This window comes from Homo sapiens, chromosome 1 (assembly GCF_000001405.40).
Source record: "Homo sapiens chromosome 1, GRCh38.p14 Primary Assembly".
Classification (NCBI taxonomy): Eukaryota; Metazoa; Chordata; class Mammalia; order Primates; family Hominidae; genus Homo; species Homo sapiens.
In genome coordinates this window covers 192,754,710-192,774,185 of record NC_000001.11, presented here as the reverse complement: position 1 = coordinate 192,774,185, position 19,476 = coordinate 192,754,710, and the positions used below count along the sequence as shown (strand labels likewise).

Below are 19,476 nucleotides of genomic sequence, written 5' to 3'. Positions count from 1 at the left end.
AAGCTATTGTGTCATTTGCTGATGAAGGGAAGATGGTGGAAGAACATATATGGCAGGGAAGCAACAATTCTGTTTTGGACATATTAAAATAGAAATGAATGCCATTTTTAGACAGAGAATTCAAGGGAGAGGCTGGAGCTGTAAATATAGATTTTTGAGAATGAATATAAAGGTTGTATCTAAAGATGTGAAGAATGAACTCACAAAGAGCAATTAGTTAGGCAAGAACACCAGAACAATGTGATGCTACAAAAGAAGAAAATTCTTCAAAGGGAAGGGAGTATTATAGTAGCTGTGTGCTGCTGAGGGCTTAAGGGCGGAGAAGTGACATTGGATTGGACACGATGGAGATTGTTGATGATCTTGCTTAGAACAGTTTCTGTGGAATGGTGGGGACAAAGTCCAGTTAGATCAAATTGAGGAGAGAATAGGAAGTGAGAAAATGGAGAGTATGACTTTAGACATCACTTTGGATGTTTCTCTTGGAAAGGAAGCAGAGAAATTAGGTTGTAGCTGCAAAGGAGGTGTGAACAAGGGAACATCTCTTTCTCCATTCATTCATTCATCCATCCATCCATCCATTCAACTATTTATCCATCCATTCTTCCATTAGGTATAATAATCCAATTGACAGATAGGCGGTAATTATATACATCAAGTCCTTGAAAAAGTCATAGGGGATCCAGAGCACAAGGGGACAATCATCTATGAGCAGGAATACCTCATCTATTGGGAGAGGAGGAGGAAAGGTAGAATTTACTAGTAGGAAAGATATATTTAATGGTAGAAAAATGAGGGCGTTCCCATTGCATTCTTTCTCCTTGCTTAATGAGGTATGAGGTCATTAGCAAATACTGAGAGGGATAGTCAGGAGTGTCATATATTTGAGAAGGAAGAAAAATGTGTGAAATAGTAATTTGGATAGTAGGGGAACAAATATACCAGAAAAGTGTAGTGCAATGCCCACCAGTGTTGAATGTCCATTTAAGATTTGAGGTCATGAATGTAACAATGGAATTTTTAGCTTTATTGTGTGTTTTCTTCATTTCTGAGTTAGATGCAGAATATGCAAGATGCTGTATTTAAATAGGGCCAGGGCTGGGCGCCGTGGCTCGCGCCTAAATCCCAGCACTTTGGGAGGCCAAGGTGGGTGGATCACCAGGGGTCAGGAGTTTGAGACCAGCCTGGTCAACATGGTGAAACCCTGTTTCTACTAAAAATACAAAAATGAGCGAGGCATGTTGGTGGGCACCTGCAATCCCAGCTACTCGGGAGGCTGAGGCAGGCGACTTGCTTGAACACAGTGAGCCGAGATCACACCATTGCATTCCAGCCTGCAGCCTGGGCAACAGAGTGAGACTGTCTCAAAAAAAGAAAAAAAAAAAAAAAAGGCCAGCATTTTTGCTGAGTCCTACAGAGTGAAGAAGGTGTATAAGAGCAGTGGCAGCATTGGCAATATTTACAATCAGCAGCCTGTGGTAATAATAAACAGCATTTGGACTTTTAGTTGGTTTTATTATTGTTTTAAAATTCTCTTTAGGCAATATACCCTTTATTGCCTTCACCTGAGAAGGATGACTCCTACTATGAACCCTCCCTGGGCCACTATAAGGGAGTCACGAGAGAATGGAAAGGAGCGTTATGTTGACTAACATGGAATCCAAAGAGATGAATAAATCTTCTACCTCCAAAGGCCATTTCTTAATTAAAAAAAAATCCTTTCACATTAGTTACCCCTCATACTTATAATGCTATCTAAGAAATATTATCTCCATTTTACAAATAAGGAATGGAGGAGGTTCACAGATGTCATGTAAATTGCTTGGGCCAGTGGATGAGCACTAGGCATGGTTGTAAAAATCTAGACTCTTTTCATCCATGGCTTTTGTGCTTTTCTCTCCACTGGGGTACCTTTCCTCAGTGGAGGAAGTCCTTTCATTTTTCTCACGTCAAAAAGCCAAAGGCTATCATAGGAGAATTTATGATTACTATCAGGATTGTTGGTTAAATATAAGAATGTGAGGCTGGTAAATATAGTTTATTTATATAAATACACAGTAGGAGACTTTATCTCTTTAATATGTGATCCAGAAAATAGAATTTGTAAAGCTGATGATGAACATTTTACATCTACTCAGGGTTACAAGACAATCAGTTCCATGTGGCCCTTTCTGATGCCATTTCACCTCCTTCCCCTTAAGAGATGGTGTTTAGCATGTATGTATGTGTCTGTGTGTGTGTGTGTGTGTGTACAGCAGGTAGCATCTGCAAAACTTCATTGTACACTGTGAAGCAATGAATGTGGAAAAGCAAAACAATCTTAGTATTATGAAAATAGTTTTGATCTTGTAGATTCCCTGAAAGAAGAGTCTTAGGAAGCCTCTAGGGTTCTTCAGGCCACACATATATCCTAGAACCACTGCTCTAAGATACATATTGAATGGAATTTTGTGGTTGTATGTGAAGGACTGAATGATATACCATCCCGAAATATGCTGGGTTAATATATTGACTACGTTGAGTTGAAAACATTGGAGAAATGATAGTTTCAGAAAGGTCTAGCTGACCTGTCTCTTCCTGCAGGCAGCAAGCCATAAAGATTCCTCTGGGAGGAGTACCCTCCCAGTACCAGAGCTAGAAAATAGCCCTTATCGCCAGAGACTGGGAACTGGCGGCCTACAGTGAACCTGAATATAGTTACTGTCCCTAGCCAGATTTCCTTTGTCCTGTCATTTCTTCTAAAATTTATCATTATTTGTCTAAAAAGTATAGAAGCATCTTTTTTTGGCCACTTCTTTGGACTTTACTCTTTTGTGAAGTCCCCATGTACATGCAAAACTAATAAAATGTGTATGCTTTTGTTTTGTTAATCTGCCTGGTGTCAGTTTGGTTTATAGATTCAGCTGAAGGGCCCATGTAAGAGCTTAAAGATGGTTAGAGGTGATCTCTGACTCCCCTAATTATGGTGAGTACATCTTTCACACACTTCCAAACTTTTCCAAAGTGCTTGTGTCAACTTAAGCTCCCATCAGTAGTTTGTTAGAGTTCCCAGTTCTCTACATTTTCACAGGCACTTCGTATTATCAGTCTTTTTAATTTTTCCCTTAACCTTATGGGTTTTAAATGGTATGTTACTGTAGCTTTAATATTTATTTCCATAAATATTAGCAAAGTTGAACATGTTTTCATACATTTATTATCAATTTAGGTTTTTGTTTGTATGACTGATCTGGTCATTTTCTCATTTTTCCATTTTGTTGTTTGTCTTTTTATAAAGCTTCATTTAGGTATAATTGATAAAAATATTTCTATATATTTAAGGTATACAACTTAATGTTTTAAGTATACATTATGAAGTGATCATCACAATCAAGCTTATTAACATACCTATCACTTCAGAGTTACTCCCTTTTTTGTGAGGAAGACACAAGATTACCTTCTTAGCAAATTTCAAGTACACAATATAGTATTGTTAACTATAGTTACCATACTATACATTAAATCTCCAGAACTTATTCATGCTGCATAAGTGAAACTTTGTATCCTTTGTGTTGTCTTTTTTCATATTGATTTTTATCATATAAAGATGTTCTTTATATATTCTGTACTGTTTTTGTCAGTTATATGAGTTGCAAATTATTTCTTCTACTCTGAGCCTGATCATTTTATTATTTTAACATTGACTTTTGATATTTTAGGTAATTGAATGTAAAAGAAAATTTTACAGTTGTAGATTTTTGGGTCTTATTTAAGAAAATATTTTCTACCTTGAAGTTATCGAAGAATTTTTAAATATTTTCTTCTAAAGTCTGTAGAGTTTGATGGTTTTTATATTTAGTTTTAAAATCTACCTGGAATTTACTTTTGTGTATGGTTTAAGGTAGAGATCTTTTGTGTGTGTGTGTGTGTGTGTGTGTGTGCATGTGTGCATGTGTGCCTGCATTATTTATTGAATAGTGTTCTTTGCTTCTTTCGTATATGGCCAAATATCATTACACAATGGCATACAGCCCTCTACTATTGTATATATAAACATTTCTATTGTAATTTTATGTAAATTGATGCCTCTATTTATATGTTACATATTTCTTTATATATCTAAAAAGATTAGTATTTATGTATATGTATTTATTTATTTATAGTTAGGTCTTTCCCTAGATCCTATGTCTATGATTCACTCCAGACAACAGCCTGGGCTCTATTGTTTCTTTATAAAAAATTATTATTATTATTTTTATGAATACATAGTAGGTGTAAATATTTATGAAGTACACGAATTATTTTGATAGCGGTATGTAATGTGTAATCATCATATCAGGGTTAATGGGGTATCCATTACCTCAAACATTCATCCTTTTTTTGTGTTATGAACAACCTAGTTTTATTCTTTTAGCATTTTAAAATGTACAATAAATTGCTTTCAACTGTAATCACCGTATTGTGCTATCAAATACTAGGTTTATTGATTGATTGATTGATTTTTAATTTTTTTCAGAGACAGGGTCTTGCTCTGTCACTCAGGCTAGCGTGCAGTGGCATGAATATGGCTTACTGCAGCCTCTAGTTCCTGGGCTCAAAAAATCCTCCCGCCCCAGCCTCCTGAGTAGCTGGAACTACAGGCACATGTCACTAATCCTGGCTAACTTTTAAATTTCCTTTTGTAGATATGTGTCTTACTATGTTGCCTAGGCATAAGTATCAAACTCCTGATCTCAATCGATCCTCCCTCCTTGGCCTTCCAAAGCACTGGAATCACAAGTGTGAGCCACCATGCTCAGCCTTTAAATAGTAGACCTTATTCATTCTCTCTAACTACATTTTTGTCCCATTAACCATCCACTTTTTCCCTCCACCCCATCCCTCACTATCATTCCCAGCCTCTGGTAACCATCATTTTACTCTCTATCTCCATGAGTTAAATTGTTTTCATTTTGAGTTCCCACAAATGAATGAGAACATGTGAACTTTGTCTTTCAGTGCCTGGCTTATTTCACTTAACATATTGTTCTCCAGTTCCATCCATGTTGTTGCAGATGACAGGATCTCATTCTGCTATTATGGCTGAATAGTGCTCCACTGTGTATATGTACCACATTTTCTCCACTGTGTTGATAGAAACTTAAGTTCCTTCCTCTATTGTTTCTGGAGGAAAGGTATAATTCAAAATATTTTGGAGGCTGAATCAATATTGAGGCTTGGGAGTCAAATTACACAATTGAATAAAATACAATTAATTAAATATTTTTGACAAATGTTGATACTATAAAGTGTACCATAGGCATGTTTTAATTTATTTCAATGAATAAGTAAAATTATCTGAAGAAGAGAAACCCTGGGGGTGAGATTTAGAGCATTATATTTAGATAATAATATTAAAATTTTTATTTGCATTAATACTTGATGAAGACCTCAGTAAGAGGCATTCAGCATAAACCCTCCAGTACCATTGAGCATTCTGAGACATTGTTACCTAGAATGTGACAGTCAAGTGAGAAAGTTGTTACAGCTTGTTCTTTTCTAAGATAACAAAGGTGTGAAGAAGAATGCTCAGGATCATTTGGTTCAATCTCAGTCAGGAACATTGAGACTGTTCTGCTGATTACTTTGTTTTATTTGTTCCCTCAGGAGTCCACCTTTAAAAAATATTTCAGAGAAGTGTGTTTTCCTTCACTTCAGGATTTCTAAATGAGGGAAGGTGTGGGAACAGAACTGGATCACAGAGGCTCCAACAAGCTGCATCCCCCTCTCCACACCCCTAGGTCCCAAGACTCCTGAGGCACACATCAGACTCCCAAAGTCAGGAAGTGGGGATGTGAGGTAGTTTGAAAATTCTCCCTTGGTAATTCTAATATGCCTTCTTTCACCTTCCAATTTCTCACTCCCTACTCCCTCCTGAAAAATCACTGTTCCAATGCCAGTAATTAAGAACATAACTCTTCTGTGCTGAAAAAGGAATGCAGTTAAAATCTTTGGGGATTTATGTTGGGAAAAGGTGCTGGGCTGGAAAATGTAGCCTTACATATATCTGAATATATATATTACAGATTTTCATTAGACCTAAGGGCTGTTTTAAATAGGGGTTATATTTCTTTAGGAAAACATCAAGATGATGGGCAAATGCATGTGTTTTTGGTTGTCCTGGGAGACCTAAGTGTGTGCTTCCACTGCAACCACTTCAGCTTCACTGAAGTAGTGCAGAGCTGAATGACTTGGATTCCGAACATACTGGCGCATTCAGCTAAGTGAGACATATTAGCAATTAACATACACATTTGCACTTATAGACTTAGCCTAGTAGATTTTGATGCCAACTGGAGTTATGCTTACATGTTTTTTTTTTGTTCTATTTATTGTAGTTGATAAGATTCTGCCTTATACATAGTCATTTTTGGCACCGAGTGCCATTGCTTTTAATATGCAAATCTAAGAAACTTTCACCTTATCACATATACTTCTTAATGCAAAGAAACTGATTTCTGATACTTTTTGTATATTGTTCTCAAATGAACAAATGACATTTAGACCTCTGGCTGCTGTCCTTTACTTTCCTATTTGTGAAAGAAGTCACTTTAAAGCTAAAGAATTCCTTAAAGCTACTGCTACAAGTTAATGTAAAGAATCTCTATCTGCACACTCTTCTTAAATTCCTTGATCATTAGTTGCATCGAATAATACCTCTTGCCATAATCAGTCTTTCTCAGTTATGAAGGATATCTAAAATACAGGATAAACTTTTACCACAAACTTGGATTAAGAAGGTGACTTAGCCCAAATATCTCAGGGTGTGTTTATCAAATGCATGCATGATTGCATGCAGGCAATCAGAACTCTTAAATAATCTGTGACTGTCAAATTAATGTAAATAAACAACAGTCTTTATTCTCCCACAGGACCACATTCAAAACTGTGGAATGGTGCATCATATTTCAAGTCTCATAGCTTCCCTTTTGTCTTCACTTCCATCCTCATCAAGGTCCTTACTAGAAGCATCTTGGTCATTTGTTCCTCTGCCGAGGCTTGTTTTCATGTGCTGCTGACACTAAAACTTAAGGCCAGGCAAAGAACCTCCTCTGAACAATTCCAGCAGAACTGCCATTGTTCCGTGACCCTGCTGGAGGCGATATAGGGACCATTAGCTGCCTCTCACCTTCTTTGTTCTGTACCTTTAAACACATGACAACCCAATCCCCCTCCCCCTACAATCTCCTTTTCCATTTTTCCTTAGATAAATTTCTGAGATGGTCCTTGAGAATTTCTCTGTAGTATATTTTTCACTTCAGTCCATTATATACTAAGGTAGTTTTGCTTATGGTGTTTTAAACTGAACATGGTAAACATAATGTCTAAGGATAATGAAGAAAAGGGGAGAAAGTTTTGCTTAATCTATAGACTGATGACTATGGAGATTTCATTTTATAACATACAGCAAAATAAGGAAAATTCCTAAAGAAAAGTAATTTAGAAAATAGAATAGAAAGTCTAAATTAATATCATGGTGTAACAAAAAGTTTAGACTTTGATAAAAGTCATCCCAACACCATATCCTTTAGAATGTGGGACAAAAAGTCTATTAGAGAAAGGTCAGTTCAAATTTGCACAGAGCTTAAGACCCCAACTACTTTTTATTTTGATGTTCAACATCATTAGAACATCTCTCTTCACTGAAATGAGAGATGAGGAATTCAGGAGTTTGAACTGGTGACAGCCTCTCCTGGGGCGGGGATGGCTCTAAGCATTGTATGTGTCTGACTCAGCCACTATAGCATTGTGTACATGCTTTGGGATTAATGACTGAGACTTTAAATATAAAATAAAAAGCTGTAACATTGGGAGGCCACAGCTACAGTGACTTGGAACAAACACAGCTGAGACTAACCCTGGGAGCTGAGACTTTGCTTTTCCCTGTACACTCTGAGAAGCTACCATCTGATCAGAAGAGATATCACTGTTGCAGTGAATAAAGTCAGCATCTAATCTTCCTGTTTTCACAGCAGCACCATATGGCAGTGACAGCACCTTCTGCAAGAAGAGAAACTCTAAACCAATTACAACAATATCATTTCTGTGTTGAACCATAAGTCATTGGAAACCCACTGCAACCATGCTTCCATAATAGCAGCTGGAATCTCCAATTCTACAGAGAAAAGGTAAGAATTCCTCTTATAATCATAATAAACCTCAAAAATTAATTTCTTCTTATTAGAAAAACTATCATTTATGCTAATAGCACAAGGATAAATTTCCTAAATGAAAAGTCAAATGGAAGTATAATTGTTATCTATAAATATGATTTTTTGTGCCTGTTCTTATGATTATATACATAATTTTTCTTTTGAGATAGAGTCTTACTCTGTTGCTCAAGCTGGAGTGCAGTGGCACGATCTCAGCTCACTGCAGGCTCCACCTCCCAAGTTCAAGTGATTCTCCCATCTCAGTCTCCCAAGTAGCTGGGGCTACAGGCACACACCACCACACCCCGCTAATTTTTGTATTTTTTGGCAGAGACAGGGATTCATCACATTGGCCAGGCTGGTCTCAAACTCCTGGCCTCAAGTGATTGGCCTGCTTTGGCCTCCCAAAGTATTGGTATTACAGATATGAGCCACCACATCCATCCTCATGATCATATGTTAATTTGCAGACAACATGTAAAAATCAAACCATAAATCAACTTCTTTATGTGGAAAAAAATACTAAGGAGTAGTAATTTTCTTCACAGGGTGAAATGATAGGCAGGATAACCTCTAAGGCATTGCTAACTAAGTAACCTAAACATTGGGCATGAAATTTATTGATTTCTATATCTTTATGCATTAGTCTCTGAGAAGGTTTGCCCAAAGTGGGAGACTCCCTTGATTTGGGACTTTTCACTTTGGTTACAAGATCCCTCACAACATTAAGCATCACCACCGCCTGGCCAAGTACTAGCTATAAAAAGTGATAGAGCTTTCTAATTAGGGGTGCTGTAAATGCTCAACTGATTAATATGCAGAAGCTATATGCACTGGGAGTTGCATGGGATGGTTCTTGGCTTGTTGGTCTAGGTCTCAATGTTTAGTTTCAGTAGCATCAATGTAACTTGCCAACACAAAGTACTTCCAACTATGTGCCATGCTCCTTCCCACATACATGCTGTCTAGCTTGAGGCTGCTGAGCAGGCATGTGTGTCAAATATTGATGACAATTCACACAGACTTTGTAAAAGAACCACTTTTTCTTTCCCCTTAAAGGAATGTTGAAGTAACATACATGTAGCTTTGAGGAGGAGGCACGTGCATTCAAGCTCATGGAGAGGATTGACAGCCACAGACAGGCACTCATAAGAACTGAATGTAAATCATCAAAGAGAATATACTCAGGAGGCACTGTCTACCATAGGTAAGCATTGCAATTTTTATTTAATATGGGAAAAACATAAGAACGAAGCCTGACAGATACAGTCTTAACCAAGTGATCAAAGTTAAAATCACCAGAGATAAATCACATTAATATCATCTGTCCTCTGACATGATGCAATGAGAAAAATGCTTCACCTTGTGGGGTTCTTTGGAAAAATTCATAACCTCAGTGTAATCATAAGAAAATGTGAGGCAAATGCAAAATGAAGGCCATTCTACAAAATGCCTAACCAGAACTCTTGAAATCTCACTGTCACACAATGTGACTTTAACAGAGAAGTATTGTTTCTAAGGGTGAATGAGCAAATTTGAAACATGGTGAGGAAGGAATGGAGATGGCAGATTCTTTTAGTAAGGGAATGAAGAAATTGTTAGAATTATTAAAAATTGTAACAAAAATATCACCAATCTTTGTAACACCACATAAGAAGGATTCTGAGCCAGGAAAATGACTGTTCTCAAAATATATTCTCCCAATATACCACTGCCATCCTTAAAAGATGAAGGCAACTATTCTTTAAAAGCCCAAAGGATCATGAAGCTAAACCCTGGCATTTTAAAACAAAATGCTGCAAAAAAACTTTAGAGAGGCCACTAAATATTCTAGGTAGCCTCTTTTAAAGGAACTGACCTAGTATGATGCTAGTAAACCATGTTTATGCTCAGTGAACTTTGTGGATTCCCTAGGCTGTTTTTTTTCTGAAAATGTTATGTTCTGACATCATGTAAAATATGTGTAACAAAAACACTGAGGGCAAAGAATCAAAACTATTTGGACAGATAACATCTTTGAGACAAGCTGATATTACTTGCATTTGAGAATTGCAGAGGGAAGGAAGATGAGATGGGTCATTGGTGTCTTCCCACAACTTCATACATCTGCTGACAATTGCCAAATTTGGAGTCATGTGAAAAGAGACGGGCTGAGTAAGAAAGATCAGAGGATATCTTTGACAGTCACTTCTGGTAAGAGCTTTGGGAAATCTGCTCATCTGAAGTCTAGACAATGTGATACAGAAGGCTTTGTGCCTGGCAATTTTATCTGAAGTCAGGAAGGAAAAGAAGCCCCTGCTAAATCTTTGATAAATTGTCCTATGTCAGTGTGTTCACAAATTGCAGAACACATTTCTTTTACCAGCTGTGCAAATGTAATATATGATAGGCCATATATTAGTTTAAAGTTACAACTCAGTCACTTCAGAGACTCTTTGGAATATTTAAACACTATACCTATTTCTTTTCTATTTTTATGATTGGCTAGATGACTCATTTTTAGGTTAGTGTCCAAGCTAGACTAAAGGTGAGTTGTTCACTAGTTGGCAAAGACTTTAGCACTGGAGAGGAGTTTAACACTGGAATGAATCTTGGCAGTAACTTGCTAGCTGAGGAATCATGGGCAAGTCAGTTAGCTTCTCTAGGCCTCAGCTATAAGAGGAAGACAAGAATGGGTTGAGTGTTGTGTGTAAGACAAACACAGATATCAAGAATGATGCCAGCTTTTTGACTTGAGCAACTGGAAGGATAAAGTTGCCATTCATAGAGGTAATGGTTTGAGGCTGGGAATCAATGTTTGGGGTTGGTGCTCAGTGTTGGCTATATTAGATGTAAGATGTCTGTAAGACACCCAAATGAGGAGGTTGAGTAGGCAGTTGGATAAGTCTAGAAAGAGGTTGGGAGAGAGAGAAATATTTGGGAGTTGACAGCACATGGATAGTAATCAAAGCCATCACTAAGAGATTGAGTGCAGGTAGAAAAGAAGCATTCTGAGGATAAGACATTGGGGACCAAAGGAGGAATCTGTAAAGAAGTCGTAGGGACAAAATTTGGAGTGTATTTAGGACAATGAGAGGTAAAAGGAAAAAAAACTGGAGATGTTGAATATATATTTTAGGAGTTTGCTACAAGCAGCAAAGAATTGTTGCTGTAGCTGGCAGTAAAAGGGGCAGGCAACTTTTTTATTTTGTTTTTGGCTGTGAAAAATAGCAATATTGGTGAGCGGATGAAACATTTTAAAGGTTTTTGCATCCAGGCAGTATGGCTCCAGAGAGCATGCTTTTAATGTTGTGATCTACAATTCTAGTATGATAGGATATACATATCCAGCATGAAAGGAAGGATCAGTGATAGAGGACAGGAAGTGGAGAAATGCTGGGAAAAGTCCTTGGGCAGCCACAGAGGAGGGGGATCTAATTTAGTTCTGCTAGGAATAGAGACATTTCTAGATTTTTAACTGGAGAGAAAGAAGGAAATATGGGCACAGACAGAGTTAGGTGGATTGTTGTGGTGGGGGACATTCTCTTTTAAGAGAAACAGGAAGTAAGGTCATCATCTAAGAGTAAGAGTGAGAAAGAGCTGTTAGAAATTTGAAAAGAGGGCGGGTGCAGTGGCTCACGCCTTTAATCCCAGCACTTTGGGATGCTGAGGCGGGCAGATCATGATGTCAGGAGTTCTAGACCAGCCTGGCCAACATGGTCAAACCTCATCTCTACTAAAAATACAAAAAGTAGCCAGGCGTGGTGGCACATGCCTGTAATCCCAGCTACTCGGGAGGCTGAGGCACGAGAATTGCTTGAATCCAGGAGGCAGAGGTTGTAGTGAGCTGAGATTGCACCACTGTGCTCCAGCCTGGGTGACAGAGCAAGACTCTGTCTCGGAAAAAAAAAAAAAAATTTGAAAAGAGAAAAGCAGTTAGGAGAGTAGGGAGTGAATAATTAGGAAAATACAGTATCGTTGCTGGGCAGCTCTAAAGGCCCTCTCCAGGTAGTGATTAGAACATACAGATTATTAGTTCTTTTAATTTATGTAAACATTTCAGCCTTCCACATCATCTAAATAGCTTTCAAATAATTATAAGTCTTGAAACAGCTATGCTCTACTAAGACTAAATTTCTATCAACTTTACCACTTGTGTTAAAGTATACATTTGATCTGTACTAGAGCTAGAAATATAGTTTGAGCTCATGCATTGCAGTGGGCACCAGGCCTTGTCTTCAAGGTCAAAGACTAAGAAATACTTGATGTAAATAATCTCTATTTGGATGTGAATTAAACGTTTCCAACTCAACACATTCCAAACAGAACTATTTCATCTGTTCTCCCCATCCTCCAACCTTCCTGCCTCCTCTCCCATCCAGTTCCTTTCTGAAGCTCCTCAATTTCGGCAAATGTTACTACCATTCATTCAGTTGCTTTAGCCAAAAGACCTGTCAATATACACTCAAAATATTTCTCAAAAACTGTTCCTTCCTTTCATTCTCACTTATGTTACCATAACTCAAACCACTCCACTTAGATTACCATAAACTCCTAACTGATCTCTCTGCTTCTACTTGTGGCTCTGTTACAAGCCACAGACAGGTCAGAGTGGTCCATGTCACCCTGTTTGTTTATTGCCCTCCAGTGGTTTCCCATCATGCTTAGAATAAAATCTGTACTTTGCCCACATGGCCATGTCTGAGCTTGCTTTTCTGCCTGCTAACTTCAGCATGTCCCACATATACGTCTATTCACTAGATTTTAGCCATACAGATCACCTTTTTTTCTTTTTTTGTCCTTTCAGTACTTTGTACAAATTAAGTGCTTTCCTGTCACGAGGATTTCATAACTATATTTTCTTTGCACAAATCCCAATCTCTCTGCTCTTTGTATAGCTAGTTTCTTCCAATAGTCTTCCAAAGACAATTTTTTTCTCAGCTCAAATGCTATTTCCTCAAAGAAATCTTTCCTGACCATTCTACTTCCTGATCCTACTAGAAAGAAGTTCGGACAGGGATCTTAGACGTCTGAGTCTCTGTTTGTGCAGTTGCTAAAACAGTGCCTGGCACATGAGGGTCACCCAGGAAATAATTTGAAATGCTGATGAAAAGATGAAAAGCAACACATGGATGCTTTGTGCCGTTCAAATTTGTTATTTGATTTATCTGTCAGGAAACTTGCTGAGTTGTGAATGAGTGGTGGATGATTTTGTTGAACTGTAAATCATAGAGTTAAATGTAGGCTCTCTGGAGCTATACTGCCTGGATGCAAATGACTGGATCTGTATAACCTTGGATGAGTTACTTAACTTCTTTGAGCCTCAATTTCTTCATCTGTAGAACAGGTCTAGTGATAGTAATGCATACCTATAGTGCTTTTCTAAGGATTAAATGATTTAGTTTAGCATAGTGCATGGCATAGTAAGGACTCAGTAAATATTAACTAATATTAATTTTTAATTCATGAATAACTCATTATTTCCTATTCAAAAAATCAATAGCCAAGAGAAAATAAAAAATGATGTAAATAGCTTTTAATAGATATTTGAATATGCTGTATGTTAGGAAATAAGTGAATTTAAATTATCTTAAAAGTTCCCCTTTGATGAAACTAATATATTTATGCAGAAAAATCATTGGTTCAACAAAATATTAGAAGTCACATCCAACAATGTATAAAAAGAATTATATACCATGACCCAGTGGGATTTATTCAAGGTATGAAACACTGGCTTAACATTTAAAAATCAATTTATGTAATTCATCACATCAGCAGGCCAAAGAAGAAAAATGGCATAATAATATCAATAGATGCTGAAAAAGCACTTGATGAAATCCAACACCCTTTCATGATAAAAACTTTCAGTTAAATTAGAAATAGAGGGGAGCTTCCTCAATTTGATACATAAAGAATATTTACAAAAAACTCTACAACTCAAATCATACTTAACAGTGAGAAACTAAAAGGTTGTCCACTAAGACCAGGAACTAAATAAGGATGTCCCCTCTTAACACTCCTTTTGAGCATCATACTAGAAATCCTAACTAATGAAATTAAGTAAGAAAAGGAAATAAAAGTATACTTACTGGGAAGGAAGATATAAAACTGTATTTGTTTGAAGATGATATGATTGTCTATGAGGAAAATTCAAAAGAATCAACAAAAATCCTCGTGGAACTAACAAGGGATTATAGCAAGATTGTGGGATACAATGTTAATATATGAAAGTCAACTGCTTTCCTACTTACCAGCAATTAGTAAGTGGAGGTTGAAATAAAAATGCAATATCATTTATAATAGCGTCTAAAAAATACTTAGGTATATAGCTAAATCAAAAAAATGCACAAAATCTATATGAGGAAAACTAAAAATATGATGAAAAAAATCAAAGAGGAACTAAATAAATGGAACACCATTCCATGTTCTTGGATAGGAAGACTTAATACCATCAACATGTCAGTTCTCCCTAACTTTGATCCATAAATTCAGTTCACTTTAAATCATAATCCCAGCAAGTTATTCTAAAGTTTATTTAAAGAGGCAAAAGACCCAGAATAACAACACAATATTGAGGGAGAAGACATTCAATAGTCTGACACTACCTGACTTCAAGATTTACTGTAAAGATACAATAATCAAGACAGTGTGATAGTGACAAAAGAATAGGCAAATAGATCAATGCAACAGAATGGAGATCCCAGAAATAGACTTACGTAAATAAAGCCAACTGATCTTTGACACAGGAGCAAAGGCAATACAATGGAGCAAAGATAGTCTTTTCAACAAATGGTGCACAAATAACTGGACTGCCACATTAAACAAGTGAGTCTAGACACAGACCTTACACAAACATGAAATCAAAATGGATTACAGACCTAAATGTAAAATGCAAAACTATAAACTCCTAGAAGACAATGTAGGAGAAAATCTAGATGACCTTGGATATGGCGATGACTTCTTATTTACAACACCAAAGACATGATCCATGAAAGAAAGAATTGATAAAGCTGAACTTCATTAAAATGAAAAATCACTTCTCTGTGAAAGACAATATCAAGGGAATGAAAAGACAAGCCACAGACTGGGAGAAAATATTTGCAAAACATATATCTGATAAAGGACTATTATCCAAAACACAGAGAACCCTTAAAACTCAACAATAAGAAAACAAACAACCCAACTAACAAATGGTCCAAAGACCTTAACAGATACCTCACCAAAGAAGATATACAGATGGCAAATAAGCATGTGAAAAGATGCTCCACATCATATGTCAACAGAATTCAAATTAGAACATCAATGAGATACCTTTACATACCTGTTAGAGTGGCTGAAATCCAGAACACTGACAACATCAAATGCTGGCAAGGATGTGGAGAAACAGGAACTCTTATTCATTGCTGTTAGGAATGCAAAATGGTACAGTCACTTTGGAAAAGGATTTTCTATTACAAGTTTGACAGTTTCCTACAAAAACTAAACATACTCTTACCATAAAATCCACAATCGTGCTCCTTGGTATTTACCCCAGAAAAGCTGAAAATGTATGTTCACACCAAAACCTGCACATGGGTGTTTATGGTACTTTTTTTCATAATTGCCAAAACTTGGAAGCAAGCAAGATGTCCTTCAGTAGGTGAATGGATAAATAAGCTATGGTACATCCAGACAATGGAATATTATTCAGTGCTAAAACGAAAAGAACTGTCAAGTCATGAAAAGACATGGAGAAAACTTAAATTCATATTACTAAGTGAAGGAAGCTAATCTGAAAAGGCTACACACTGTATGATTCCAACTATAACATAACATTCTGGAAAAGGCAAATATATGGAGACAGTGAAAAGATCAGTGATTGCTAAGGGTTAGGGGTGAGGCAGGAAAGAATAGGCAGAGCACAGATAATTCTTAGGACAGTGAAAATACTCTGTATGAAGCTATAAAGGTAGATACACGTCATTATGCATGTATTTAAACTCATAGAATGTACAACACCAAGAATAAACCCTAATGTTAGCTATGGACTCTGAGTGATAATGATGTGTCAATGTACGTCATCACTTGTAACAAATGATGGGGGAGGCTGTGGAGGCAGGGTGTATATGGGAAATCTCTGTACCTTCTACTCAATTTTGCTATGCATCTAAAACTTCTCCAGAAGAGAGAGAGTCTATTAAAAGAAAAAAGATTATTGGCTCTCTGACTTCAGCTTTAAGATGAAATCACTGTAATTTGCTGAAAACTCTAACGGTGTCTGGCAATGTCCCATAAATGGCCAGTCCATAAAATTAAACTGATGATTAGTAAAACCATTTGGAAAATATTGTTAAAGCTTCCAATGGAGAAGCTTTCTATAAAGTTTATAGAAAACTTTATAGAAGTTTTTCTATAAGGTGCATTTATCTTGCTCAAAAGAAAGTACTTGAGAGAGGCTTATCTTACAAACTGACTAGGTTTAAAATGTTAACACTCTGTGAAGAAATAATTGCATATGTCTCTTTAAAACTTGTTCTACTACATGTAAATCATTGTTTTAAATTGTGCAGAGTGAATTAGGACTTGTTTTTTAAGAAAAGAAAGTCATTAATACTAGTCATCAGAATGTTACTACAAATCTTAATATTAGAGTAAAACATAATCATTAGCATTCAGCACAAACTTGTTTTCAAAATAGTTTCCAGTTTCAAAATTAAAGGAAGAAGAGAAAGCTAAAGCTCTGTCACCAGGGGAGCCTTCCAACTTACTTAGGTTTTCTTCTTTTTCTTTTTTGAGAATACAAGATGAAAAGACCTGAGGTACCATTTAGGACACAACCCTTGGGCAAAAAGGGTTTTCTATTACAAGTCTATATTGAAATTCAAGTGGGCTCAGAAAGTCAATGCTTGTTTTCTGAAAAGGCAGACAAAACGGTTCCTGGTGGCCTGCCCAGCATTCAGACTCTGGCCTCAGCCTCACAGCAGAGCAGCCTCAAGTCTCAAGAGTACTACAGGTGCCAGACCAAGCTCTACTTAGCTGAATAGGTGTTGAAGAGGTTTGCAGCAATACGCATTACCACAGCCAGGACAAAGGAAGCAGGAAGAAGATGGTAACTATGCAGAGATTTCCAAGCAATTGAAAATAATAAAAATGTATATAAACTTTCTTAAGTTCAGTGGTACCTAGTGTTGATATAGGAGTTAAGAAGAAATCACTTAGGCAGATAGTAAGGGTATGGGAGTCCTCGATAAGGCTTTCCTTTTTAATGAAAGCAGCTCAAAATCATTTTCTAACAAAGAGCAGCCCGTAAAGTCGGGCTGCAGACACAAGACAAGCAAGCTGGGAGCTTTCACAGGTGAATGCCAGGCAGAAACTAAGGACTAGACATGTTCAAGATGGTGGCTCCATCTTCCCTTCTCTTTGTCAGCTACATATACAGTAAGAAGCAGACAAGATGGTGCAGATCAACTGAAAAGCCCATTTGCATAATAAGATTAGGGTGGGTGGCCAGCCTTCCTCATGCTATGTTAACGTCATACCTCATCAAACCAATCTGTGAGTCCTATGTAAATCAGACACCACTTCCTCAAACCTGACTATAAAATTCGGGTGCATCCACCACCTGCTGGTCCTTTCCACTTGGAGACCCCTCTTTCTATAGAGAGAGCTATTTCTCTTCCTCTTCTGCCTGTTAAACCTCTGCTCCTAAACTCCTCGTGTGTGTCCGTGTCCTAAATTTTACTGGCGCATGATAATGAACCCCAGGGTATATACCCAGACAATGGAGCTGCTTTAGTGTTAACATAATTTTTATTGTATAGAAAATATCTCCTCCTATGGTTATATAAATTGTGTAACCAAGAGATGCATGTAGCATTATAATCGCTATTTTATATATGTAAAAACTGAGACCCATATTAATTTTGCAAAGATCTGGCTGCTGTAGGATTTGAACATATTCTTTTTCTTACTGAGTTATAATTAACACACAATAAACATTTCAAATCTTAAGTATGTAGCCCTGAAACTTTTTATAAATGTAACTTTCTAACATTGTAACCATGAGTAAAATCATCACCTTGAAAGCAATAAAAACTGAGTTCATTTCCTAAAGATAGAACACTCACAATGAAAAGAAAATAATATTTCAATCATTTACCTAAGGACAATTATTTTTGTGCATAATTTCCATTGCCTTATGCATTAACAGAATGTATGCAGTAAACATTGCAAGCCACATTAGTAATGTGGATGAAGAAACTGATCAGGTGTGAAAATCTCTTTGTTCTTATCTCCTTATTAAAGATATTCATTAAGCTCCTTTTTCAGATCAAGTCCTTTTTTTTTGTCAAAGGATTTTGAGAGAGCCAATTTGATGGATATGAGTGGTTCCTAAATAGTACTTCATATTAATGTGACCAAAGATCTGAGCATACTGAACTTTAAGCAACAGAGAAAAAAACAACTAATTTGTTCAAAGAAATGCAGGTATTCAGGCTGACACTAGGTGTATGGATTGACTAGGAGCTACTAGAAAGTTGAATTTTCTCTCATCACTTGAATGTTCTACCTCCAATGGAACAAAAGATTTTAGAAAAATTCAACAGTTTCCAATGAAAACAAAGCCACAGTTTCAAAGATGATGGAAAGTTTTGAGTGTCAATTACCTTCAATGTTTTGCAGGTATATTTCTTGAACTAGAAGCTGTCTGAATTCTCAGATACCCATCTTTGAAGGAAGAAAGGAAAACGAATCTTTAAATTCCTAGAATTTTACTTTTTGAAATGAGTGCATCAATCCTAGGAATATCCTTATGTTTTTGGAACATATGACCAGACTATAGACCTAAGTCCATGGTTTACATGTTCTCTTGCATGAAATTGCTGAAATCAAAGTAAAAGTTAATATGACTTATAAAAGAAACCTTGAGTCACAAATGAGATATTCTCTAATAGAACTCATTTCTTTCTACCTGCCACTAGGCCTCAAAAGTATTAAACTTTTTTTTTTTTTGGGTGACATGGTCTCGCTCTGCTACCCAGGATGGAATGCAGTCGTGCAATCCTAGCTAACATAACCTCCAACTCCTGGGCTTGGGATCTTCCACGTCAGCCTCCCAAATAGCTAGGACTACAGGTATGTGCTGCCAAGCCTGGCTAATTTTTTTTTCTTTTTTTTTTTATTATACTTTAAGTTTTAGAGTACACGTGCACAACGTGCAGGTTAGTTACATATGTATACATGTGCCATGTTGGTGTGCTGCACCCAGGTGTGCTGCACCCAGTAACCCGTCACTGAACATTAGGTATATCTCCAAATGCTATCCCTCCCCCCTCCCCCCACCCCA

At 36.9% G+C, this 19,476-nt stretch overlaps 1 long non-coding RNA gene across 2 annotated transcripts in view; it reads left to right on the top strand.

The window, feature by feature from the left end:
* LOC105371665 (uncharacterized) overlaps window positions 1-19,254 on the top strand; it is a 37,592-nt gene extending 18,338 nt beyond the window's left edge. Inside the window, exons 1-5 of one of the 2 annotated variants that reach the window (XR_001738349.1) lie at window positions 5,683-5,817; window positions 7,992-8,147; window positions 9,231-9,378; window positions 10,227-10,364; window positions 19,172-19,254. This is a non-coding gene — a long non-coding RNA (uncharacterized LOC105371665). Of the gene's footprint in view, window positions 1-5,682; window positions 5,818-7,991; window positions 8,148-9,230; window positions 9,379-10,226; window positions 10,365-19,171 lie in introns of those variants that run through there. The other variant, XR_922383.2, reaches the window with a different exon arrangement.
* Window positions 19,255-19,476: the final 222 nt, after the last annotated feature.